Source organism: Homo sapiens, chromosome 7 (assembly GCF_000001405.40).
Source record: "Homo sapiens chromosome 7, GRCh38.p14 Primary Assembly".
Lineage (NCBI taxonomy): Eukaryota > Metazoa > Chordata > Mammalia > Primates > Hominidae > Homo > Homo sapiens.
In genome coordinates this window covers 9,741,819-9,769,516 of record NC_000007.14, presented here as the reverse complement: position 1 = coordinate 9,769,516, position 27,698 = coordinate 9,741,819, and the positions used below count along the sequence as shown (strand labels likewise).

The window sequence follows — 27,698 nt, the reverse complement described above, 5'->3', positions numbered from 1 at the left end:
TAGTTCACACTGCTTTTTTTATTAAAACCTTCAGTATTAAAATGTACAGTTACTTCTCATTTTTCTCAATGGCAAGTTTTTTAAGATACAGAATTCTATTTAATACCAGATACTTTTTTTAGGAGCAAGAGAAAATATCGGTGTAAAGTGAGAACAACAGTATAACAATCTGATTTTGTTGAGAGTTCATCAGGATGACTGGAAACACAGGTTGGGTCATTACTATGAGAGTTCTATGTCCACATGATGCCATCAAATCAAATTCTTTGTGGAAGTGTTTCTTTCTGTTGATATAAAGGGAAAGAGAAACAACCAAAATTTGAATCGCTGAAAACTTAATATACGTGTCAAATAAAAAAATCTAACTCAAAAAATTTGATTAAAAAACACTCCGGGTAAAATAAAGAAAGAAAGAAAGAACACTCCTGGTAATCTAGCTGTGTGTGTGTGTGTGTTTGTGTGTGTGTGTGTGTGTGTGTGTGTGTGTGTGATAAAAGCAATATTTTGAAGAGAAATTCACTATTTATAATGAATCTTTCTTCAGCCTAAACTATTCAGCTATAGAAGCAATGCAATGCAATACAATATAGCTATACAGTAACATCCTTTTTCTATAACTTGGGAACAAAAGTCACAAAAAATATTTTGTGTTTAGTTAGGACTTCCACACTGCAGAACCACTGGCATGTCAAGCTACTTCGTTTTTCCTGACAAAACCCCAGATGACCCCCACCATTTCTTCTTTTCCTGCTAGTCTGTTACTCACCTGTGCTTCCATTTTAGTACATGCAGACTGTTAAAATAAAATATTATAAACTAGATTACTTACAAACAACAGAAATTTCTCACAATTCTAGAGGCTGGGAAGTCCAAGATCAAGGCAGATTTGGTGTCTGGTTAGGGTCTGACTTTTGGCTCACGCAGGGCAACTTCTCTCACGTGGTGGAAAGGGCAACAAGCTCATTTGGGTTTCTTTAATAAGGGCATTAATCCCACTCCTGAGACCCCATCATCATGACACAACCACCTTCCCAAAATTTTACCTACTAATATTATCACCTTGGAAGGTAGGATTTCAACATATGAATTTAGAAAGGCACGAACATTCTGTACATAGCTGCTTCTGTACCTGGTGTCTTTAATCAGCAGCTGCTGCCCCCATGACCATTGATAGAGCAACTGATGCTAACTTTCTGTACTTCTGGCTACTTTTAATGATATTTCTGCTCCCATAGCCAATGTGCTATTCCATCTGGGGTTGAAGGAGAGGGCTACTAAGCCTATAAAGCTGGGGTTATTTTACTGTCAGGGTGGCCTTGGATTATTCCTGTTTCTTATGACTTTCTATTTAAAAGCATGGAAAGAATTTCTCCAATGATGAGTATGAGATTTGAAAGGCAACATCCCATGTTTTCACACAAAAGTACCTTTTCCTCTTCGACCAAGAATTGATGTTCTAGGACAGAATCCAGACAGCATTCCTCAATAAGAAAACCTTAATTTAAATTTAGAGAAATATTTGCTCTGTTAAATTATTTAGTCCCAGAGTATAGGAATCTGCTGGTCTTCTTTCAAATAGGCATAACATTCTGGCGCTTTCCTTACCTTGAAACAGCAATGTAACTTTACATTTTTTATCAGAACACTCCTGATCACCCCTCTTTGATAATTTTAAGATTTTTAAATTTTTTATATCATTCCTTTTCCATTGTAATATAAATCAGTTTGTTTCAATCAACAGGCATTCAAGTGATAAGAAAGAAGCAAGATTAGAGGCTGAATGGTTTTTTTTTTTTGTCTGTTAAGGCTGAAGGTCTCAGACTTCAATAATATTAAATAATTGTCTTGGGGGATCTTAATTGCCCAATCATTAGTGCTATTATTATTTTCCTAATTAATTAGGAAATGTTTTGGCAGTCAGATTTACTTTGCAGAGTTTTAGGAGTATTAGAGTGGCTTCCCAAATTTAGACGACAAGTTAGCAATGGAATGGAGACTGCCAACAGCTCTAATCTATCAGACTCAGCTGGTCCCTCGTTGTTTGGCCATGACTGTCATGGTGAAAGATGAACTCTCTTATACTTAGACTGTTAATATAAATGAGCTCTATTTCACGTTGAGATGTCTTGATTGAGAATTCCTGAGATGACTCAGGTCAATTTTCTGAGAGGTTACAACTAATTTAGAACTTACAAGTGAGTATAAATAGCTTAAGCTGACCGTTTTAATATGACATACTTTACTCTTGGGTTGAATTTCATTTGCTACCCTGAAACCAATTATTTTGTTTTTTGAAATCTTTCCAGATATCTTACAAAGTCCCAACTAACCAAAGCATAAATGTCTCTCCTAGTAACAGACGTTTTAGAGATATATTGAATTGCAGTGTGTAGTGCTGATCCCTTGGGCACCCCACTGGAAAATTGTGTCCTGAGAATTACCTAATTATTCCTTTTCTTTGCCTCCTATCTTTTAATCAGACTTTAAATTCTCTCTCTATGATTTCCTTGGTTTTATTAATGGGGCTGCAGGAAAAACTAAACCAAAATCCTCCTTTGCAAGTTTGAACAAATTAAACCAGTTTTTTCTTCATATGTAATTTATTTTTGATATTGTTTTTCTTTGTATGTTGATTTTTGTGTGGCAACTCACATTTTTAAAGACTCAAGATAGATTACAGAACTGAAAATTATTTTTCCCTGTTAACATTACTTTTCTGTAATTAAAAAATAATGTCCTTTTAAAAAGATTGCTTTACAATTATATATAATTTTTAATAATTTTATTATAAAATATATTAATAATTTTTATTGGGTTTTGTAAAAGAAAAATGACACTGGATAAGTTAGACAAGGAAGACTTTATTCGAGACTATTACAACCGATAAAGAAATTAAACTCGACTCTCTTGAAACAAAAGGTGGGAAGGTCTTAAGCACCTGCGTGAGCTAGTGGAAAAGTACTGTAGAGCATTGGAGAAGGGTTGGTCATTGTGATTAGGGTTGGTCCTCTGTGTTTGCTAATCAGCACTTGTTGAAGTTAGTTAGGCTCCTATCCTGTCACAGAGAAGGGAATAGGGGCTCTATCTTTTTTGATAATTTTATTATAAAAGGATGGCTCTCAGGTGAAAAGAAATCTCTGGTTTGTAAAATTGACAAGAAACTAGAAGATTTGCATCTCAAAGAGGCAGAGAAAGAACTTACAACTGCAAATTATCTAACGTAAATGCAGTAAGAAAAGGGAAGTCAGGGGCCTATTGCCAGGAAAAGGCTTTTCTAAACTTTAGTCAAGTTGAGAGGAATAACCAAGGTCATCTAGGTCAGTTCAATAATTACTAATAAAAATTATAAAATGAATTCAATATGACAAACAGTTCGTTAAATACCTGAATATTTTCAAATTAATATTTCAGTGTCAAAATATCAGGTTGCATTTTACTAATAGCTTTAAGTGTACCAATGCAGAATCTAATAATGAAGCTGAGCCCATAAAGAAGTATTAAAATTTTCTAAAATGTCTTTATATTTCAATGTATAAAAGTAAGAAAAATAATTAGTATTTTATATCAAGTCCATAAGTTAAAATTATTGACAAAGATAATTAACTTGTAACCTATTTATAAATGTGTTATCTTTAAATCTTGATTGAGTATCACGGCTTCTGATAAAATCTTAGGTTCTCTACTTTTATGCAATGTCATGACCCGTGAAGGGTCTGAGATTTTTTATGCTACCTACCTGCAAGCGAGTAAGTTAGCTTGCTATAGTTTTATGGATGTAGTGAAAGACAAGATTCCAGGACCATACACACAGGACTTTATTACCAATAGTGTGGCGGTCAGCACAAGCTTCATGTTCTCATCAGTTCTCTTGGCCTTCAAGTCCCATGGGGAGTGACATGTATATATACACATATATACCATATATGTATATAGATATGTATATATGTATATACAGTATATATACATGTATATATGTATACATATATAGTACATATGCATGTACATGTATATACATACGTACATGTATATATGCTATATATGTATTGTAGAGTATATAAATATATATAAAATATAAAAAAAATTAATATATTCATATATATACATTTTTATATTTCTACATATACATATATAATATATAAATGTAATAAGACATATATAATAAATAAAATATATATAATAAAATATACATATTTATATATTATATAATTATAAATTTATATATTTTATATATCATATATTTAGTCTATATATATATTTATATTTCAAATACAAATATATACAATCTTTGTATATATATGAAATATATAAAAAGTTGTATATATTGTATATATTTATAAATAAAATGTATAATCTTTTTATATATTTATCTATAAATGTATATAAATATATACATGTTTTATGTATATAAATATGTAAAATCTTTTTATATATTTTCTATATAAATATATAATTTACATATTTTATATATAAATATATACAATATTGATATACATTTTATATACAAATATATACATATATAAATATGTGCAAATATATACATATATGTATACATATATACTACATATGTATGCACTATATACATAGCGTATGTATATATACTATATATACATATGTATACATATATGCATGTATATATACATATATGCATGTATATATACATATACATGCATATATGTATATATTTATATGAGATGTATATGTATATATGTATACATATATACAATATATACATATATACTATATATGTATATATTGTATATATACACAACATATATGTATATATTGTATATATACAATATATAATATATACATATATGTATACACTATGTATAGTATATGTACATATACTATATATACTATGTACATATACTATATAGTATGCATATAGTATACATACTATATAGTATGCATATAGTATACATACTATATAGTATGCATATAGTATACATACTATATAGTATGCATATAGTATACATATACTATATATACATATATGTATATATGTATATATGTATATATACACATATATACATGTGTATCTATGTATACGTATATATGTATATTTACAGTATATATAGTGTATATATATACAATATATATGTATATATTGTATATACGCAATATATGTATATATTGTGTGTATATATGTATCTATTGTGTGTATATACATATATGTATCTATTGTGTGTATATACATATATGTATAAAATATGCATGTATATATACACTATATATACATGTATATATACACTATATATACATGTGTATATACACTATATATACATGTGTATATACACTATATATACATGTGTATATACACTATATATACATGTGTATATACACTATATATATACATGTATATACCTATACTATATGTATATACCTATACTATATAGTATATAACTATGCTACATATACATATATATACACTATATATAGTATATGCCTATACTACATATAGTATATATAGTATAGGCATGTACTATATATGTATATAATATACATATACAGTGCATATGTACATATACATGTACATACATATACATACATGTATATATACTACATACATACATATATACGCACATGTATGTATGAGTATACTACATACATGTACTATATACATAGTATATATACATATATATGGATATATGTATATGTATGTATGTGTACATATGTGCATACATATATATGGATATATGTATATGTATGTATACATATGTCCATACATATATCCAGATATCCATATGTATTTATATGTATGTGCATATGTATGTGTACATGTATGTATATATAGTACATACGTACATGTATGTGTACTATATATGTATATATACATACATATATAGCAGATATACATGCATGTACGTATGTATATATGTATATGTATCTACTATATATGTATACATATATACATGTATCTATACTATATATACATATATAGTTTACATATATACTATATACATGTATAGAGTATATGCATATATACTATATACATGTATAGAGTATATGCATATATACTATATACATACATGTACGTATGTACGATACATGTTCATATACACATATAAATACATATGGATATATGTATGTATATACTATGTATACATCCATGTACTATACATATACATAGATGTACATATATATGTATATAGTATAGATACATGTATGTATATAGTATAGATACATGTATTTATGTATATGTACATAAGTATGTATATATGTATATGTACATATGCACTACAGATGTATAGTATATACATATGGAGTACATATGGATACACGATATATAGTATATGTATACACTATATATAGCGTATACATGTATACATATATGTATAAATGTATAGTGTATACATATGTAGTATATATATACTGTACATATATGTATATATAGTATATATGTATACATGTATATATGTATATATTTATATATAAAATATGTAAATTGTATATATTTATATATGAAATATATAAAAAGATTGTACATATTTATATACATAAAACATGTATATATTTATATATATTTTATATAAAATATATAAAAAGATTATATATTTTATATAGAAATATATACAATATATATAACTTTTTATATATTTTATATATAAATATATAGAAAGATTGGATATATTTATATAAAATATAAAACGATTTTACATATTTATATATAAAATATATATTGTATATATTTATATTTAAAATATAAATATACATTTATATTGACTAAACATAGGATATATAAAATATAAATATATATAGTTTTTTATATATATTTTATTATATATGTCTTATTATATTTATATATTATATGTATATGTAGAAATATAAAAATATATTGTATATATAATATATAAATATATTAATTTTATATTTTATATATTTTATATGTAATATATATTATATACATTATATAGAAATATATATATTTTATACATTATATAGAAATATATATATTTTATGTATTATATAGAAATTTATATATTTGATATATTATATACAACTATCATATATAGTGTATATATTATATGGAACTATCATATATATTGTACATATTATATAGAACTATCATATATAGTATATATTATATAGAAATATATATAGTATATATTATATAGAAATATCATATATAGTATATATTATATAGAAATATATAGTATATATTATATAGAAATATCATATATTTTATATTTCTAAATAAAATATATATTATATATTTCTATATATATTATATATGGAAATATATAGAAGTATATATAACATAGATATAATATATAGATATAAATATATATAATATAGAAATATATAACTTATAGATATGTATAATCTATATATTTTACAATATATAATTATATATATTACAGAAATATATAATATATATTATATAGAAATATATAATATATATTATATAGAAATATATAATATATATTATATAGAAATATATAATATATAATATAAATATATATTATATAGAAATATATATTATATATGTTATATAGAAATATATATCATATATATTTATATATGTGTATAGTATAAATATATTTAGTGTATATATAGTATATATTATATACACTATATATACAATATATACATTATATACATATACATCTTACATATACATATATACATATTACATAATACATGTTCCATATACATACATATATTCCATATATAGTATATATACATATATACAATATATAATATATACTATATATGTAGTATATTATAACTATATAAAATATGTACTTTTTTTAACTTTAAGAAGTCAAAAGTCTATGAAATCAACAATAGGGTAAAGCACCCAAGCACGGACCAGATATCAGTATTTTTATAAAACTTACAGGTATATATAAGGTGAAGCAAAATTTGAGAGAACCCTTTCTAAGAGAAAACAAAACAAAAAAACAAAACACCTCATTATCTCTGTCTAAGGAGGCCTTAATATTACCCTCAGCATGGCTAAACTTTAGGCAGCCTTCTTTCTGATTCAAGAGTCTGACCTCCTTTTCCTTAGACTATTTACTTCATAAAACTTGTAAATGCTTTCTATGCCCTTTTCAGGTATAAATCGTTTTAAAAGCTTCTTGACAGTTTTACGACCCAACAGTGTCATTCTCAAGGACCTACTAGTGTAGCCATTTCTTTGAAACTTTAAAATGTAAATGCTAAAGGAGATACCACCTCTATCTTACAGTCTCTATGAGAGAGTAGGAATCTAAGGTGGACCCTTTGTTCCAAAGTGTGAAATTACATTCTGTCATGGAGGTAAGAGACAGCTTACTCTCTGTTGGGTAAGGCCTAAGATCTTCCTGCCCCAGCCCTTACAATCTGTTCTGCTTTTTGTTTAGTGGAGTTTTGACTGCATTTTTGTCTCTCTCCCCTATTGCATAGCCTTCAATAAAATCTTCCCTGCTTGTTTAACTTTGGTGCAATTTTTGCTTTGATTACTGTAAGAATGGGCATTAGCCAATGAAACTACTGTTTCCATACTAATTTACTGATCCTTTGCATAAAGCAGATAATAAGACCTACTTGCCCTGTAGGTTCTCAATCACAGAACATTTGAGAATCACCTGGGGGGGGACCTAAAAAAAACTCTGATATTAGACATTTCACAAAGTTATTCAGATTTCATTGTTAGTGGGTGGGATCTCACGGTGGGTAGTTTTATATTTCCCCAATTGATCATAATGTGTTCCTTGGATTGCAAAACAGTTAATTATTTTGTGCTGATGCATTAGTAAGACTGTCACAGAAAAGGAAGAATAAAAGATTCAGGAAAAACAGTTTGAAATGCAGACCTGAAATTGTGACCATTAAATACTTTTCTTTTGGATAGTAGTGTTATTATTGGATTCTATTTGTTACTAAAGGTTAGTTTTATAATTATTTTATCTAAGTTTTTACCTGGTGACGTAAGTACCACTGTAGCAGTCCGTTTCTTTTGAAGTGAGTAACAGTCTAAGAAAGAAATTGAGATGTAAAACAATAAATCGCCATTTATATCAACAATTTTAAGACCCTAATTGTCTATTTAAGAGACTAAAAAAATTGAAGTTTTGTGCATTTCTGAGGGGTTTGTTGATTACTCAAGGCTTAAACAGAGATACAAACATCATTATTTTTTATTTCTTTAGATATTATTAGTTAATAAAAGTTTTCTACAAATCACAGAAGAATTTCTATTTGTAGTTTCCAAATTACATAATAAAATTATAAATATTTTTCTGCAGAGAAAATTATACTCTGCTAAAGTGTATAGATTAAACCAGAATTTCTAAACAGTGATGGTATTGACATTTTAGGCCAGAAACTTCTATATTGTGGCAGGGGTGGTTTCGTAGATGCTGTCTTGTGCATTGTAGATGTTTAGCAGCATTCCTGGCTTCTACATACTCAATGCTTTTTTTTTTTTTTTTTTTTTTTTTTCAAAAAAATGAAATGTGATTGCAGAGAGTCCTTTCTATGGAGGAGACATTATGCTAGAATTTTCACACAGATTATTTTATTTAACTCCAAGAACTACTCCATGAAATAGGCATGATCATCACCTTCATTGTTTACAGGTAAGAAAACTAAAGTTCACAGTGGTTAAATTGCTTGTCCATAGTTGCATGTGTAGTAAGAGGGGCTAGAGAGTAGGAATTTCATATCATTTTGAGCTCTTGAGTTTGTAAGCATCGTTTTTCTTTAGAGTTATCTCCTGGTTTTCCATGATAGAAAGTCTTTCTTGGACTTTTTTTCTGGCGCAAGCATTCCTTCTCATACTTAAATTCTTCACAAATATCCTTGACTTTTCTATTAATTCTAAATTGCAGTCTATAGTCCCACAAAGTGTAAAAGTATGAAATGTTAAAATTCTTTGTTTAAAAGCATTCATTATTACTTACATTTCTAAATGAATGTAAGAAATGCAATAACTTAGCAAACAGAAAGTTCAATCAGATTTGCTCATGCAGGGGTCTTATGATATTTCAATGAAGATTGATGTCCATTCTATGGCTAAAGTGGCAGGACACAAAACATAATAGAATTGTGCAAATACAGAGAAAAAGTAATGCATTCCAAGCTATAAGAAAGTGCCTTCCTTGATTAGGTATGTTATCATACTGTGGTTCTGTTCCTGTTTATTCTTGCATTTGTTCAGAGTTATGCTTTTGAAAGAAATCAAAATATTTCACCCCAAAATATACTTATTTAACATATTTTGACATCGCTATTAAGAGGGCTTGTAAACAGAATGAGCCCTGCAAAGCTGTCTTTTGTGGGGGAGATTTGCATCTGTAGAAAATGTGCATCGATGTGGCCGGGTTTCTCTGAGGCCTTGCCTTGTGGAACCCTAACAAACATTAATTTCTGTAAGGGTTTAATGTAAGCCACATACTCTTCTGAGATTAGCATATTTTAGTACCACATTATCTCTTATACTAGTCATTGCAATGACAAGAAAATAAATAGAAAATTCAGGCCAAAAGCTATCTATCAAAAGTAATTTTTAAACTTCCACAGCAAAATTCCTACCTTTCAGGTATGTTTACAATGATGAAAAAACTATTTTCTAATTTTTAAAGTTGTATCCTTGATATAATGAGATAAAATGTGGATTTAAAACCAGTGATTAACAGTGTCTCCCCAATAACAAATAAAAGACAGCTTTCAAGATCTCAAAGAAACATTTACTACATCTTTTGAGGGTTGCTACCTGTGGGTTTCCACCTACGTAACAAAACCATCTTTGCTAGCCATGTCTCCTCTTTTTCCCTCCTGTAACCTGTTTTGCCACTATAACCTGTTTTGTCAGAGCCAAGCCTCATACATTCTGTAATCTCAGTATGGCATATATGCTTCTGAACCACACTTGAAGGTTGGGGTTATGTAATCACTCCGTGGTTCTTCCCCATATGCATGTTGATACATTTGTATGCCTTTGCTCCAATCAATCAGTCTTTTGTGAGTTGATTTTACAGCAAAATTTCAGAGGACAAACGGAAATGTTTCCATTGGTCCCTACACTTTAAATGTATACATTTTAAATTTATTACCAGTGACTATATACTTATATTTTAACAATGCTACTGCAAAGTAACAAAAATGTGAAATATTGAATGTATGGCTTAAGAGATCTACAATAAATGATTATGTGAAGTTTTGCTTTGTTTTGTATCTGTAGCTGCTTCTTGAATTACCTGTCATTTGTGATTCTTATTACCTTGCGTGTGTGTGTCAAAAAACATTTTCAACCTTAAAGCTGTGCGAGTTTGATCTACAGTTGTTTCTGATTCAGTCAACACTGAGCTTGAATATTAATTTTATGAATTTAGTTGCAAGAATAAAAGGTAGCTGGAGAGGCTGGGAGTTCAGGAGAATGCCTCAGTCTCCAGTGACTTTCACAGTAACACTAAATAAACCAAGAATCTAAGAAAACACCATGTACTTCATAGGCGGTTTCAGACTAGTTCACCGTACACTTGTTACTCAATGTTTGTTCTTAAGTATTTTTAGGTCTTTGGAGCTTTTTTAAGATGCAGAAACCTAGGTCCCATTCCAAAAATGCCACTCAAATTTTTTTTTAACCATGTCCTTGGGGATGAGACTTACTTACCATTTCTTACACCTACCAGAACACAACTCATAAGCCCTTCTTCCCATGTCTAGAGATTCTGGCTTCCCCACTGTAAGAACTGAAGATACTGCAGCTGAATTGATGTCATGAAAAGGCCTTCATTCAATTAGAGTGGGTATCTTGTGTGGTCTCTATTTAATAACTTCCACTTTTGTACATTTCAATTTCTGTACGTGCTCTGAGATAAACAGCCAGAGTCTTTAAGCAAGAGAGACAACAACTAAAAACAACAATGAAAACTTAGTTACAGCTACAGCGATATATAGGTCTTTATAAAAGTAGCAGTTCCATTGTGAAGGCGGTGATAAATGTAAAACCATAAATTCTGGAAATAGTCGTAGTAAATAGATAGAAACAAGAGTGGTTCACAGATAAGGATATGAAGCATACTCACTGTATTTTACCAAAAATGATGTTCCTATATTTTGTAGACCAGAGAGCCTTTTTAAAGGAAACAAATTCATAACCAAATACCATCTAGAATTACCTCTATTAATAAATTGTCAATGTAATATTTTAATTAAAACATATATCACGTATTTTCTTCTCTGTATAATTTTATAAAATATCTATGATAAGAAAGAAAATAATGGAATGCATTTTCTTTAACATATTATCCTACATTATACTCTTTCTAATCTCTAGAGACTTTTGCTCATTTTAAACACCTTTATATGCATGGCTCTCATGTTTTTCCAATGACATTTATAATTTACTGCATCATATTCTCTTTATTGAGTCTCTTGAACAATAGAAGTTGAAAGAAAGAAAGATAAATGCTCAGCATATTTGCTTATTTCCTATATATAACTAAAATATATTAGCATATTTATACCTAAATTGATACCAAGAAGTAACTAGGTAACATCAAAGAAGCCATGTAATTTATTTCATTAAAGTCATTTTTGATGTAGTAATCAAGGTTATGATTTCTCCAGTCCATTGGACTTGAAGTTTACTAAGTGTGGACATACAGTATAAATTATTTTACTTTTAATAAACTATAGTTTTAGCAAGGTAAAACTTGATAAAAATTTTACATAAAATATATTTTTACTTGTCACCAATAAATTATGATACTAATAGTACATGGGCTTAGACATTATCCATGTCACTCTATTATCAGTTTTTACTTATTCTAAATTAATAGGTGGAGACTTTTTTAAGGTTTTTTAAGGTTTATGATACTATATGTAGTTAATTTATTTTTAACATGTTCTTCGTCCTTATTATATTAGTTTGATAATTATCTTAAGCCCCTCAACTTTGTACAACACTTAAAATTTAAGGCATAGAGCAAATTAAAGAAATTGTATTGGTGTCAGGTCTCTATAAAGAACTTTCAAGGGGAGAAAATTTATTTGTGGAATACATTGTCTGAGGAAATCAAAGAATATTTTCAAAAATAATGAAGGCTCCAGAATTATTATTCTTTTTGCCTCTCAAACATAGAATAGAATAGAAAGTTATACAATAGAAAGTGAATAGAAGAGAGACTAAAGGGAAGGAAGAGTTGAAGGAAGGATCAAAAAGAGATGATAAGGCAAGAGGACAGATGAGAAAAGAGAACAAGATCATGGTCTCTGAATCTTCAACACTGAAGAACGGTGACCTTAAGCATGCTTCCTGTCCACTGTTAAGACTTAACCAAATATTGAGCCCACTCCTATCACTCTTGCCCTGCAGAAATCATAGATATATTTGGACGTAGCATACAGTAAAAGAAAGAAGCAACAAAAATTAACCTATACTCAGCAGTAAGGAAACTATACTTCCAGACAATCAGCACAACAAATCCAAGTTTGTTGATTGATGCATTTCTGTCAAATACAGAAAATAAAATCAGCAGCACAGCTTTCTCTTATAGGTGTACTCATTTCTGCAGTCTGTTACATTTTGTGCAGTGTCTTCTATACCATCTCTCCTCTTACGGGGTTAAACTACTTCATACCAATATGTAAGTGCTTTTGCACTAATAAAGAAATGAAATCTTGCTCTTTTTGTTCTTTGACTGTAGCGTTGGCTGTGGAAATTCTCATTCCAAGCCCCACTACAATGTTTGATTTAAAATTTATTTCTAAAGTAAATGTATTATATAATTTAATTTTCCTTACTTATTAAACATGAGAAATACTTTTGATACAAGGTGGGATAATTAATAATTTATGTCAATAGCCAGATACATGCATTTATTTTTATGCTGGAAAGTTCATCTCCACCATAGAACGGGAAGAGACCAGTTCTCTTTCCAATGTAGGGATGAAGAGACCCAGATTAAACTTTGGCTATACTTCCCTATCCTCACCTAAATATGGGGATAGCAACCAATATTTGAGGATTCTTCTGAAGGTAAAATTTAAAAAGATACAACATATTTAGAAGTGTCCTGACATATATTTGGTGCTAAACAGTTATTAATGCCTGTCTTTCTTATTAAAGAATGGCAGGAAAAACATCGATGATAAAATAAATTTCAACTGGAAAACCTAGAGAAAATAAGTAAGTTTCTATACAAATACAACTTGCCAAGACTGAATCAGAAATAAATAGAAAATCTGAACTGACCAACAACAACTAGAAAGATTTAATCAGTAATAAAATGTCTTCCAACAAAGAAAAGGCCAGGACTAGCTGGCATCACTGCTGAATTCCACCAAACATATGAAGAAGAACTAACAGCAATTATCCTACAACTTTTCCAAAAATTTTAACAGGAGGAAATTATTCCTAATGTATGCTACAAAGCCAGAATTATCCTAATATCAAAACCAGACAAAGACACAAGAACAAAAAGGGAACCTAACGGCCAATATCCTGATAAACATAGACACAAATATTTTTAACAAAATACCAGCAAACTGAATCCAACAGCACATCAAAAAGATAAGACACCATGATGAAGTGGGATGCAAACATAGTTCAACTTGTGCAAATCAATAAATACAATATATCACAACAGAATGAAGGACAAAAATTATATGATTATCTCAATAGATGCAGAAAAAAAGTTTGATAAAGTTTAAGAGCCTTTAATGATAAAAAATCTCCACAAACTTGGCATAGAAGGGACTTTCCTCAACATCATAAAGGCCATATATGACACAATCACAGCTAACATCAAAATAAATGGGGAAAAGCTGAAAGCCTTTCCTTTAAGAACTAGAACAAGAAAAAGATATCCACTTTTGTCACCATTCCTATTCAAAATAGTGCTGAAAGTTCCTGCCATGATAATCAGAGAAGAGGAAAAAAAGAGAAAGTAAATGAAAAAAAAATTCAAAAAGGAAAGGAGGAATTCAAATTGTCCCTCTTTGAAGATGACATGATCATATATTTAGAAAAACTTAAAGACTCCACTGAAAACCTCTTACATTTGATAAATAAATTCAGTGTCATTGCAGGATACAAAATCAACATACAAAAATCAGTTTTCTATAAGCCAATTAATATGATTTGGCTGTGTCCTCACCCAAATCTTACCTTGAATTGTAGTTCTCATAATCCCCATATGTTGTGGGAGGGACCTGGTGAGAGGTAATTAAATAATGGGGGAGGTTTTCCTCATGCTATTCCCGTGATAGTAAGTTCTCACAAGATTTGATGGCTTTATAAGGGAGCTTCCCCCTTCACATTCTTTTCTCTCCTGCTGTCACGTGAAGAAGGACATGTTTGCTTCCCCTTCCACCATGATTGTAAGTATTTTGAAACCTCCCCAGCTGGGCAGAACTGTGAGTCAATTAAACCTCTTTTCTTTATAAATTACCCAGTCTCAGGCAGTTCTTTATAGCAGCATGAGTACTGACTAATACACCAATAATGAAATAAATGAGAAAGAAAAAAAGGCATTCCCATTTATAATAGCTACAAAAAATTAAAATATTGTGGAACAAATTTAACCAAGGAGGTGAAAGACCTCTAAAAGGAAAAATGCAAAACGCTGATGAAAGAAATTAAAGAGAACAGAAAGAAATGGAAAGACATCTCATGCCCATGGATCAGAAGATTTAATATCATTCACATGACCACACAATCCAAATCAATCTACAGATTCAATGAAATCCCTATCAAAATATCTATGTCATTTTCACTGAAATAGAAAAAAAATTCTAAAATTTGTATGGAATTTAAAAAGAGCCTTAATAGCCAAAGCACTTTACCCTACCTGACTGCAAAATATATTACAAAGATATTGTAACCAAAATAGCATGGTATTAGTATAAAAACAGACATATAGATCAATTGAACAAAATAGTGAACCCAGAAATAAACCCATGTATTCCAAATCAACTGATTTTCAACAAATGCACCAAGAACATAGATTGGAAAAAGACACCTTCTAAAATGAATGCTATTGGAAAAACTGCATATTCATAAGCACAAGAATAAAATTAGATCCCATATCTCTCACAATATATAGAAATTAACTCAAAATCAACTAAAGATATAAATGTAAGACCTGAAACTATAAAATTCCTAAAAGAAAACATAGGGAAAAAACACCAGGACATCGGTCTAGGTAAATATTTTATGGCTAAGAACTCAAAAGCACAGCCAACTAAAACAAAAGTTGGACTATATTAAACTAAAACTCTTCTGTACAACAAAGGAAACATTAACAGAATAAAGACACAATCTGTTGAATATGAGAAAATATTTGGAAACTATTTATCCAACAAGGAACTAACATCCAGAATATACAAAGAATACAAGCAACTCAACAGCAAAAAAGCAAATCCATTAAAAAGTGGTCCAAAGGGATGAATTCGATATTTCTCAAAAGACCGATTGCCAACCGCTATATGAAAGAAAGTTCCACATTGCTAATCATCAGAGAAATGCAAATTAAAACCACAATGAAATATCATCTTATTCCAGTTAGCATGGCTATTATTTAAAAAGTTTAAACACAAACAACCAAAAAAAAAAAAAAAAAAAAAAACAATGCTGGTGAAGATGCAGAGAAAAAAAAATCTTAAACACTGTTGTTGGAAATGTAAATTAGTATAGACATTATGAAAAACAGCATGGAAGTTTCTCAAAACACAAAAAATTGAACTATCATATGGTCTAGCACTTCTGCTACTAGATATTTATTCAAAGTAGAGGAACTCAGTATGTCAAAATGATATTTTCACTCTAGTTTATTGCAGCAGTATTCACAATAGCCAAAATATGGCATCAACCTAAGTGTCCATCAACAGATAAATGAATAAAGACTATATGGTTTATATACCCATTGGAATACTACTTGGTCATAAAGAAGAATGAAATTCTGTCATTTGTAGCAACATGTATGGAACTAGAGCCCATGATGTTAAGTGAAATAAGCCAGGTACAGAAAGACGAATATTGCATGTTTTTACTCATATGTGGGAGCTAAGAAAGTTGATTTCATGAACGTAGAGAGCAGAATGATAGTTAACAGAGGCTGCAGAATGTATGTGTGTGTGTGGGTGTGTGTGATGAAGAGCTATTGGTTAATGGGCACAAGCATACTGTTGGATAAAAGGAATAAGTTTTAATGTTTGATAGCAGAGTAGAGTGACGAGAGTTAAAAACAATGTGTTGTATATTTCAAAATAGGTAGAAGGGAGGGCTTGAAATGTTCCCGACACATTGAAATTATAATTACTTGAGTACCTTAAATACCTTAAATATGCTGACTCAATCATTACACATTCTATGCATGTATCAAAATATTACGTGTATGCTCCCCTCACCAAAAGAGAAAGATAAATAGAAGAAAAAGAATTCAGCATAGTATCGTGGTACCTATATACACTTTACAAAAATCTTTTATCCACACAAGAAACAATTCTTTATATCAAATAGTCTTTTGCCTCACACATTCTTTTATAAAGGTGTATGTTTCACTCTTGCATTGAGCTCAAAGAGGAATTTTGTAGGAATTCTTGGTTTTAGTAGGAGGAAAATGCACTTTCCCATCAAGAAATATAAAAGTGCATTAAGTAGCACAACTGTCCTTTAAAATTTCAGAGGTTAAAAAGCCAAGGATGGTAAACATCTGAACTACAATTCTCTCTCCTGGAAGGTAGATTTTTACACCTTCTCTAGTGAGCCTTAAAAATAAGAATTTTTAAACCTAGAACACTCTGACCTTTTACATTAAACCCAATGGTCAAGCAATTTTTATAGATGCATTGGTTTTAATAATCATAAATCCATTAAACTCTTCAGGTATGTGCATGCACATTTAATGTGTCATTTCTCAAAGCAAAATATATTAATCATTTTAGGAAGACTGTTATAAAGGGAAGTTCACAACTAATTAAAATATGTTAATTATACAAATAAAGTTTTCATATAAATGTAGCCAGATATTAACATAATATCCCTACATTACCTAGCATTCTGTAGGGAACATTACTAATATAAAATGTTCCTATTTGCTCAATGAAAGTCTTATTAAATACATATTTCATTTTTGTAAGGGTTTAATGTAAGCCACATACTCTTTTGAGATTAGTATATTTTAGTACCACATTATCTCTTATACTAGTCATTGCAATGACAAGAAAATATATAGAAAATTCAGGCCAAAAGCTATCTATCAGAAGTAACTTTTAAAATTCCACAGCAAAAAAAACCCCTACCTTTTAGGTATGTTTACAATAACGAAAAAACTATTTTCTAACTTTTACAGTTGTATCCTTGATATAATGAGACAAAATGTGATTTAAAACCAGTGATTAACAGTACCTCCCCAATAACAAATAAAAGATAAGAAATAAAGAGGCTTATACTATAAACATGAATTTCAGACTTCCAACACGATGACTCCATAGAATACATTTGATTCACCCCCTCAGCTCCAGTGATAGGTAAAATAAAAATAGGAACAAGAAAAAATAAATAGGTTCAGAACATAAGAAATAAAATAAAACTACAAAATTGTGAGTGAGACTGAATCATGAAATCACTGCATTCTTAGCTTAAAAAAGGAAATAGATACCAGTGTTTTATTCATTCAAGGTAAGAGTTCAAAGGGATTTGACATTTGACAATAGGTCTCTGATTCACTTTTTGGAGTCAGATGCTGAGAATGGATCTCCTTACGTGTGAATAGATAATAATTAAAATAAACAATAAAAAGGAGCAAATCATCGAAAATACTATTTCCAACCATCATCATCAAGGTAGACTTATAAAAGCAGGAAGACACAGATAAAGCCATTCAACCTGAAATGATACCAAGCAATCCAGGAGTATTTTACCTGGATCTTTGATATTCTTGATTTAACCATGTCACAGGACCCCAAAAATACAACTTTAAAGCCTGTTTCTGACTGGAGAGTCTTGGGAGCAGACAACGGGCATCACAAAATGTTAGATGAAGAGGAGTAAAAGCAAAGAATTTAGAAGTGTGGAAACAATCCTCTAAACAGGTCTCTTTGTTAAAATTTTGAGATCCATGAGTTAAAAAATTGCTCACAAAGTCAGTAAAATCAATAACCAGAAAATGAATAAATTCCAGAAAAATAGCTTTGAGGAAATATGTGATAAAGACTTCAAAATATATGTTAAAATTGCTTAATGAGATAAGCAAAGGGCTATCTTCCCTTTACAAAAGACTGCACAATAGACAAAGTGAAACTAGAAAAGTAAGATATATAAGAAAATCAATTAGAAATATTGGGGAAAAATAACAACCAAAAACATTTAATAATAAAATTAACTCCGTAGTAAACACAAAGACTTAGTGACTGGGAAAAATTTACTTAGGAGATCACATAGTACGTACTTATGAATTAATTCCCAATTCAGCCATGGTTTGGGGGACTTCTTATTTATAGAAGAGCAAAGAAAAGTATATCTCACTTCTCAGAAGCCATTCAAACAAGAATAGAGTGATGTAAAATATTTAAAGTGTTCAGAGCACAAAAATTCCCCACTAATCTAGAATTCTGCACCCTGCAAAATTATCCCGCAAAAGGCAAGGAGAAAAAGAGACTTTATCACACAAACAAAAATGAAGGAATTTGGTACCAGTAGACACATCATGCAAGAAATGTTAACATAAGTTCTTTAGAGAGAAGAAAAATAATATAGGTCAGAAACGTGGATGCAATAAAGAAAGGAAGAACATTAGAGAGGGGATAAGTACAGGTAAAATAAAAACTTGTTTTTTACTCATTGTTATGTATGCTTATGTATAAGTAAAATGAATGACAGCAATGATACAAGAAATAGGAGGGAGGAATTATGATTATTTTGTTATTATAAAGTACTCTCATTCACATTAAGTGGTATAGTATTATTCAAAAGTGTACTTAGGTTACTTGTACATGTATATTGCAAACTCGGGCTACTAATTAAAATGTAAAAAAAGAACTATAACTTATCTGCTGAGAAAGGAGAGAAAATGTAACCATATAAATGCTTAATTAACACCACATAGGCAGAAAAAGGGTAGAATGAAAAATGGAGACAAAGAACAAGGACAAGAAAACTTCTTTTAAAGTAGCAAATACAGTAAATATTAATCCAACTATATCCATAGTCATTTAGAATATTAACAATCTAAATGCACCAATTAAAAGACCGAGGTTTTTCAGAATGGATCAAAAACTAAAACACAAACATACATTGTCTATAAGAAACCCACTTTAAGTATAAAGACACATATAATGACACTTATAAATTGAAAGTAAACAGATGGAGGAGAAAAACACACCATACTAACACTAATCAAAAGAAAGTGGGATAGCTATGTTGATTTCTGACAGAGCAGATTTCAAAGTGAGGAAAGTTATTAGGGATAAAGAGGGGCATTATACAATGATAAAATGATTAATTTTTCATGAAAAATAACATTTTTCATGTGTATACATCTGACAATAGAGCATCAAACTATTTAAATGATAGAACTGCATGGAGAAATAGATTAATTCAGTATCATAGTTGGAGACTTCAACATCCTTCTATCAGAAAGGGACAGATCCAGCAGGCAGAAAATTAAGGACATAGTTGAACTTAATAACACCATCAATCATCTGGATATAATGAACATCTATAATCTACTTCATTCAGTAACAGCAGAATATGCATTCTTCCCAGGCTCACTTGGAACATTCACCTAAACAGACCGCATTTGGGTAATAAGACACATCTTAATAATTTAAAAGAATAGAAATCAAACAATATTGGTTTTCAGACCACAATGAGATTGAATTAGAAATCAATACCAGAAAGACAACTGGAAAATCCCAAAATATCTAAAAATTATACAATATATACCTGTAAATAAATGAGTTAAACAAGAAATCTCAAAAGAAAATTTAAAATATTTTGAACTTAATAAAAATGAAAACACAACTTTTCAAAATTTGTGGGATGTAGCCAAACCAGTGCTTAGAGGAACATTTATAGCATTAAATAAGTAGATTAGAAAAGAAGAAAGATCTAAATCAGGAATCTACAATTTCACCTTTAGGAGACTAGCAGAAGAGTAAATGAAATCCAAAGTAAGCAGAAGAAAGGAAATAATAAAAAAGATTTCCATCAATGAAATTGAAAACAGGAAAGCAATAGAGAAAAATCAACAAAATTAAAAGCTAGTTATTTGAAAAATTGATAAAATTAATAAATCTCTTCACAAAGCCATGAAAAAAGGAGAACACAAATTATTAATATCAGAAATGAAGAAAGAACATCACTGCAGATCCCATGAACCTTAAAAGAGTAATGAAATAATACTATGACAAATAAATAGTTATAACAATTACTCTGACAGAGAAGGCGAGGAAGGATGGAATTAGGAGAAGAGCAGCAGCCAGAAACCTATATTTGGCAGAAAGAGTCCTATAGGAGATAGTCAGTTCATCCCTTGAACCCTTATGAGATGTTGTCTTGCATGCATTGCTGAAATAGGCCTATTTTTCTTTCTATACTGCTAACACTAAGAGAGCCAGCCAAGATGAGAGTAGAATAACTCAGCAGGAGTTTGAATTTGGACTCTGCCACTTTCTGCAGTGTAACCTTAATCCAAACTTCTGTTTTGTTTTGTTTTTGAGCTATATTTTTCTTTTTTTTATTATACTTTAAGTTTTAGGGTACATGTGCACAACGTGCAGGTTTGTTACATATGTATACATGTGCCATGTTGGTTGCTGCACCCATTAACTCGTCATTTACATTAGGTATATCTCCTAATGCTATCCCTCCGCCCTCCCCCCACCCCATGACAGGCCCCAGTGTGTGACGTTCCCCTTCCTGTGTCCAGGTGTTCTCATTGTTCAATTCCCACCTATGAGTGAGAACAGGCAGTGTTTGGTTTTCTGTCCTTGTGATAGTTTGCTGAGAATGATGGTTTCCAGCTTCATCCATGTCCCTACAAAGGACATGAACTCATCCTTTTTTATGGCTGCATAGTATTCCATGGTGTATATTGTGCCACATTTTCTTAATCCACTCTATCATTGATGGACATCTGGTTTGGTTCCAAGTCTTTGCTATTGTGAATAGTGCTACAATAAACATACGTGTGCATGTGCCTTTATAGCAACATGATTTATAGTCTTTTGGGTATATACCCAGTAATGGGATGGCTGGGTCAAATGGTATTTCTAGTTCTAGATCCTTGAGGAATCACCACACTGTCTTCCACAATGGTTGAACTAATTTACAGTCCCACCAACAGTGTAAAAGTGTTCCTATTTCTCCACAACCTCTCCAGCACCTGTTGTTTCCTGACCTTTTAATGATCGCCATTCTAACTGGTGTGAGATGGTATCTCATTGTGGTTTTGATTTGCATTTCTCTGATGGTCAGTGATGATGAGCATTTTTTCACGTGTCTGTTGGCCGCATAAATGTCTTCTTTTGAGAAGTGCCTGTTCATATCCTTCGCCCGCTTGTTGATGATGATGATGGGGTTGTTTGTTTTTTTCTTGTAAATTTGTTTGAGTTCCTTGTAGATTCTGGATATTAGCCCTTTGTCAGATGGGTAAGTTGCGAAAATTTTCTCCCATTTTGTAAGTTGCCTGTTCACTCTGATGGTAGTTTCTTTTGCTGTGCAGAAGCTCTTTAGTTTAAAATTAGATCCCATTTGTCAATTTTGGCTTTTGTTGCCATTGCTTTTGGTGTTTTAGACATGAAGTCCTTGCCCATGCCTATGTCCTGAATGGTATTGTCTAGCTTTTCTTCTAGGGTTTTTATGGTTTTAGGTCTAACATTTAAGTCTTTAATTAATTTTTGTATAAGGTGTAAGGAAGCGATCCAGTTTCAGCTTTCTACACATGGCTAGCCAGTTTTCCCAGCACCATTTATTAAATAGGGAATCCTTTCCCCATTTCTTGTTTTTGTCAGGTTTGTCAAAGATCAGATGGTTGTAGATGTGTGGTATTATTTCTGAGGGTTATGTTCTGTTCCATTGGTCTATATCTCTGTTTTGGTACCAGTACCATGCTGTTTTGGTTACTCTAGCCTTGTTGTATTGTTTGAACTCAGGTAGCATGATGCCTCCAGCTTTGTTCTTTTTGCTTAGGATTGTCTTGGCAATGTGGGCCCTTTTTTGGTTCCATATGAACTTTAAAGTAGTTTTTTCCAATTCTGTGAAGAAAGTCATTGGTAGCTTGATGGGAATGTCATTGAATCTATCAATTACCTTGGGCAGTATGGCCATTTTCACAATATTGATTCTTCCTATCCATGAGCTTGGAATGTTCTTCCATTTGTTTTTATCCTCTTTTATTTCATTGAGCAGTGGTTTGTAGTTCTTTAAATTGTGGTTTTATAATCAGTTGCATGTGGTTATTAGATAACTTGTATCATAGAAGTGATAAGATCAAATTAGAAAGAGATTACTTTTACAAAAGCATAGCTGGTATATAGTAAACTTCTCTGGATAAGCATGAACATTTGTCAGAAGTTTTCTTCACAACTTTTTCCATCTGAATCTAACATCAAAATCTATAAATGGGGAAGTCGTGTTCATTTTTGTGCATTATTTGTAACCATCTGAATGCAACGATATGGTTTGCTTTTACTTCTTATCCCAATGTTGCCCACACATATTGTGCTAAATACAAAGCAGTGGTGTAAGTTTGAAAATGTGGGGTTTTTTGGTATATAATAGAAAACCGCTAATTACTTTTTAGAACTAGTTTAGAGAATTAGCCAAGGAAAAGCATTAACATTTAACTGTTCTGCAACGTGTTAATGTTTTTTACTTTTAGTAGCAACACTCCTCAGATTTCTCTGTTGACAAAGCCACTTAGACTAACTTAAAATGGCCCTATGAAAATCCATCGCCTTTTCTTAAGATCCTTTCTTTTATATTTATTTACTATATTTTCTTAAGTGCACAACAAACTTATTAAGAATCTTCAATTCTTCCATTCTAAATGGAGTCAAAGGTGCTGGACTGGTCACAGTTTGGCTCAGGCCTCTTGGGAAACATCATTCATTAGTTCAAGAACAGAGGATACACAAGCCATCTTTAACTTCAAGAGGATGTCTTAGAAAAAAAAGTTATCCTTTGTTTTAATCACTTAAAGTTATTTTCTACTATTAAGGAGAGAGATATAAATAATTTTGTATTAACTTTATATAAAAATAGTTTTTAAAATATATTTTAAAATACTCAAAGGCTGAATTTTGTTGCAATGCTGCAGAAATGATACTTATAGTGAAGGATTAAATGCATCTATTAGCAAAATATCTGTGAGTAAAAAATATTACAAATAAAAAATCAGAAATTCTTAATTAACTATAAGCATAGAGCAGTATAATTTATAGTAAATATTTTTAAGAACTCACACCTAGCAGCACAAAAACACGGGACCTAGAAATGCACATTATTGTCCAACTTTGAATCACTGTCATTTTGTATTTCATACCCTGAGGAGATTTCAACATGAAATAAAAGATGACATAACATATAAAGTACTTTAGCTCTGGATACCATTATGAAACTGCCTAAACAGATAACTCCAAAACAAGCATAGTTATTACATAATTAAGTGATCATCACTTTTCTTTTCAAATTGTACAATGAAATGTCCTGTAAGAAGCGCTATATCCTAAATGTTGGACTATTCTAGCTAATCAGCAAATAATTATGCCCTGGCCTTTCGCCAAATTCATAAGTGTTCCATTGCTAATGTATTGCATATATGATGTACAGATTATTAAAGTATACTCTTATTATCCCTTCCTTTAAAACAGGCCTTGGGATACTTGATATGATAGTATATATTTGGTACATGCAGGATAAAGTCGTTTGAACACCTAATTAGGTAAAAAAGGTCAGCCAAAATATTAGTACTAAACAGTATTTGGGCAATTTGGCACCAAAAGAGAGATTGAAAAGAGCAAGTCAAACAAATGGGATCCAAATGGTGAGTTAAGATAGGCAGATACAGAGAAGTAATTTCTGGACTGTGAGCAGTTCAACACAGTTTAATATACACTGGGATTCTAGAAATTAATTGGCTAACTAAAGCAAATCAGAGCTGGGGGTAGAAATGATGACCAGTTTGGTAACTTAAACACTGCTTTTTGGCAAGTGCATAAAACTTTATTTTTTTGTGACTTTCTTCAGGAGAAAAATAAAAACAGTTTATGGAGTTGAAGCACAAAGGTAGGTAGATTGGATATACACAATCATTGCATATGGCAACAATGCTTATCAAAATATTTCTAGATTTTCTCTAATTTATGTTTATTGAAATATGACTTGTCATTGGTTGCAAAGCTACAAGAATTGGGAAAAATCAATTCTGTTAACAAATTGCTCTTAAAATTTAAATTATTGAATTCCATTTCCTTTCAGGTTTACTATTTTTACCATTGAAAATTATAGAAAAGTATATTGTTATAATTTGATATTATGTAATTTTCAATGAAAACAACTTGATAAACTCACTTCATTCACCCTAGCTAATAATGGGTCTATAGTATATATAAATCACAAACTTCTTTGTGAATTTCCTTTTTCTAGCCTCTACAAGGACATTCGTAGGTGTGCCAAAAAAAGCATTAAGCCACAGCACATCCTTGATAAATTTCACTAGCCCATCCTCTCTAAAATAAATGGAATTCAGGTTCCATTTATTGACATGAAGCAACACTACAACATGCTTTGAGTAATTTTTAGGTGTTATGTCAATTAGAAAGCTTATGGTCACTGATTATATAACTAGACGTTAACTAATTATAAAACCTTCCAATGGTAATTAAAACTCTATTATAATTAATGAAAAAATGTTAAAAGGAGTCAGTTATCTCAGCAATTGGAGTATTTTAGATAAATTAGCTCATTATACTTTTCACTAGCAGTCTAAAAAGGCTAAAAATAATCTTGTAGAAAGGTCTTATGTATTGTTTACAAATGAAAAGTGAACTAGAGAAATGAATCAAATATATGAGTAATTTAGTGCCCTTGTTCTTAAACTGTTTGAAATATTCACATATTTAGGATACTTTTCAAAATGTGTATACATTTATATACGTTTTAAATTTCATTTTCTGTATATACATGCAAACTTCTATTTGTTAATTTGATTTATATAAGTCAATATATATTTGGCTTAATCATGAAGCCTGTGCTTCCATTTACTTTTCACTTACCTGTAATTTCTCTCAGCCAGTCCCCAGGGCAACACCTTCTTTATGTGGGTAAAGTCCTTTAAAATGATATAGTTAAAAAAATTTAAAAATGACTCGGCAATAACAAAACCAAACCAATGCTCGTATAAGCACATATTTTATGAGACTGGCAGAAAGGCAACATTGACTCTGCCAGAGAAAAATTGCACAGAACCAACAAAAACAGTCAAGAAAGACTTTATTCAACACTATTGCAACAGGGGAGGGAGATTAAATTCAACTCCTTTGAAACAAAGGGCAAGAGACTTTTAAGCACTGGGGTGAGCTAGTGGAAATATACTGAAGGACACTGGAGGAAGGCTGATTAGTACGATTAGGCATTCTGTGCTTGCTAGTTGGCATTTATTGATGTTAAGCTCCTACCCTCCCATAGAGACTGGGGGATAAGGATCCTGTATTTCTTGATAATTTCATTTCAAAGAGATGCTCTGAGTTCTTTGAGAAAGACATTTCTATGTTGTAAAAATGGCAAGAAGATTTATATCTCAAAGGTGCAGGGAAACAATATATAGTTGCAATTTTTCTAAATTAAATGCTCTAGGAAAAGTGAGATAAAGGACCTATAGTCAGGAACAAATCTGTTTAAAATTTAGTTAAGCTGAAGGGAATGGCAAGACTTTTTTGGTCAACTCTGAATATTTCACAACCTTTTTGTAACTTAATATTTGAGTTTCTAACAACAGAAGAGAGCAAATTTCTTGCCTGGATGTGAACCAGCAAATTTCTGGCTAACTTACAAGCTTTATATATAAGTTTAATTTTTTTGACAATCACATAAGCATACAGGATTTCTGGGAGAAGAAAGCTGGCCTAATAAATTAACTATTATTTCAGAATGAATAATTAAACAAAAATTAACCAGAAAACATACATACACCCAGAGAGGTTTTTTTTCCTCTGTTTCTTATTTTTCCCTAGATTGGTACATGTTATAAAGAAAAATAATATTAGCATTTTCTGAAATAATACAAAATAGCAAATGGATCTTAACCTCTATAATGGTTTTCCTATCAATAAAGGTAAAGTGCAGAAAATAATCAAATTATAAAATAAATACTTCAGTGGAGAATCTGGGCCAGAATATTGTTGGCACAAATTAAGGGTGGTTTTCTTCTTCTAATATGTTTAATGTCTCTGTAATTGTTCAGTCCAATAGTTCACTTAGGATGCAATCTTTATGATGAAATATGAATGATCTTGTTTCTCATATCTTTATGTGTAAGTAGGGGTCTTTAACTGAGTGGCTTAATGTCTTTAATATTTTTTGATATTACCACGAAGAAATATTCAAAATAAGAATCAGCTTGGAAAACGCACTGTGAACCTTTCCAAGGTGGATAGTCACACAGGTAATCAATTTGATAATCAAAAATCAATTTGAAAGTCACAAATCAGACCTTTTTCCCTTAAATCAGGGCTATTCCCATTCTTTTACACTGATTTGT

The 27,698-nt window shown here is 30.5% G+C and overlaps 2 long non-coding RNA genes across 4 annotated transcripts in view, besides 1 other annotated feature; one reads left to right on the top strand and one right to left on the bottom strand.

The window, feature by feature from the left end:
- The window catches only part of LOC105375147 (uncharacterized), a 172,035-nt gene extending 160,040 nt beyond the window's left edge, over positions 1–11,995 (top strand). The window contains exons 3-4 of the long non-coding RNA XR_927026.2: positions 9,454–9,566; positions 11,656–11,995. This is a non-coding gene — a long non-coding RNA (uncharacterized LOC105375147). The remainder of the gene's footprint in view (positions 1–9,453; positions 9,567–11,655) is intronic.
- Positions 4–27,698, bottom strand: part of LOC105375148 (uncharacterized) — a 147,709-nt gene continuing 120,014 nt past the window's right edge. For all 3 annotated transcript variants that reach the window (NR_187872.1, NR_187873.1, NR_187874.1), the window contains 3 exons: positions 26,215–26,270; positions 8,908–8,961; positions 4–284 (listed from right to left, as the gene is read on the bottom strand). This is a non-coding gene — a long non-coding RNA (uncharacterized LOC105375148). The remainder of the gene's footprint in view (positions 285–8,907; positions 8,962–26,214; positions 26,271–27,698) is intronic.
- Positions 1,970–2,170: a silencer, noted in NCBI's record as "peak6373 fragment used in MPRA reporter construct". NCBI's record gives its function as "represses an SCP1 promoter by STARR-seq MPRAs in K562 erythroleukemia cells {active_cell/tissue: K562}" and the evidence as "EXISTENCE:reporter gene assay evidence [ECO:0000049][PMID:32103011]".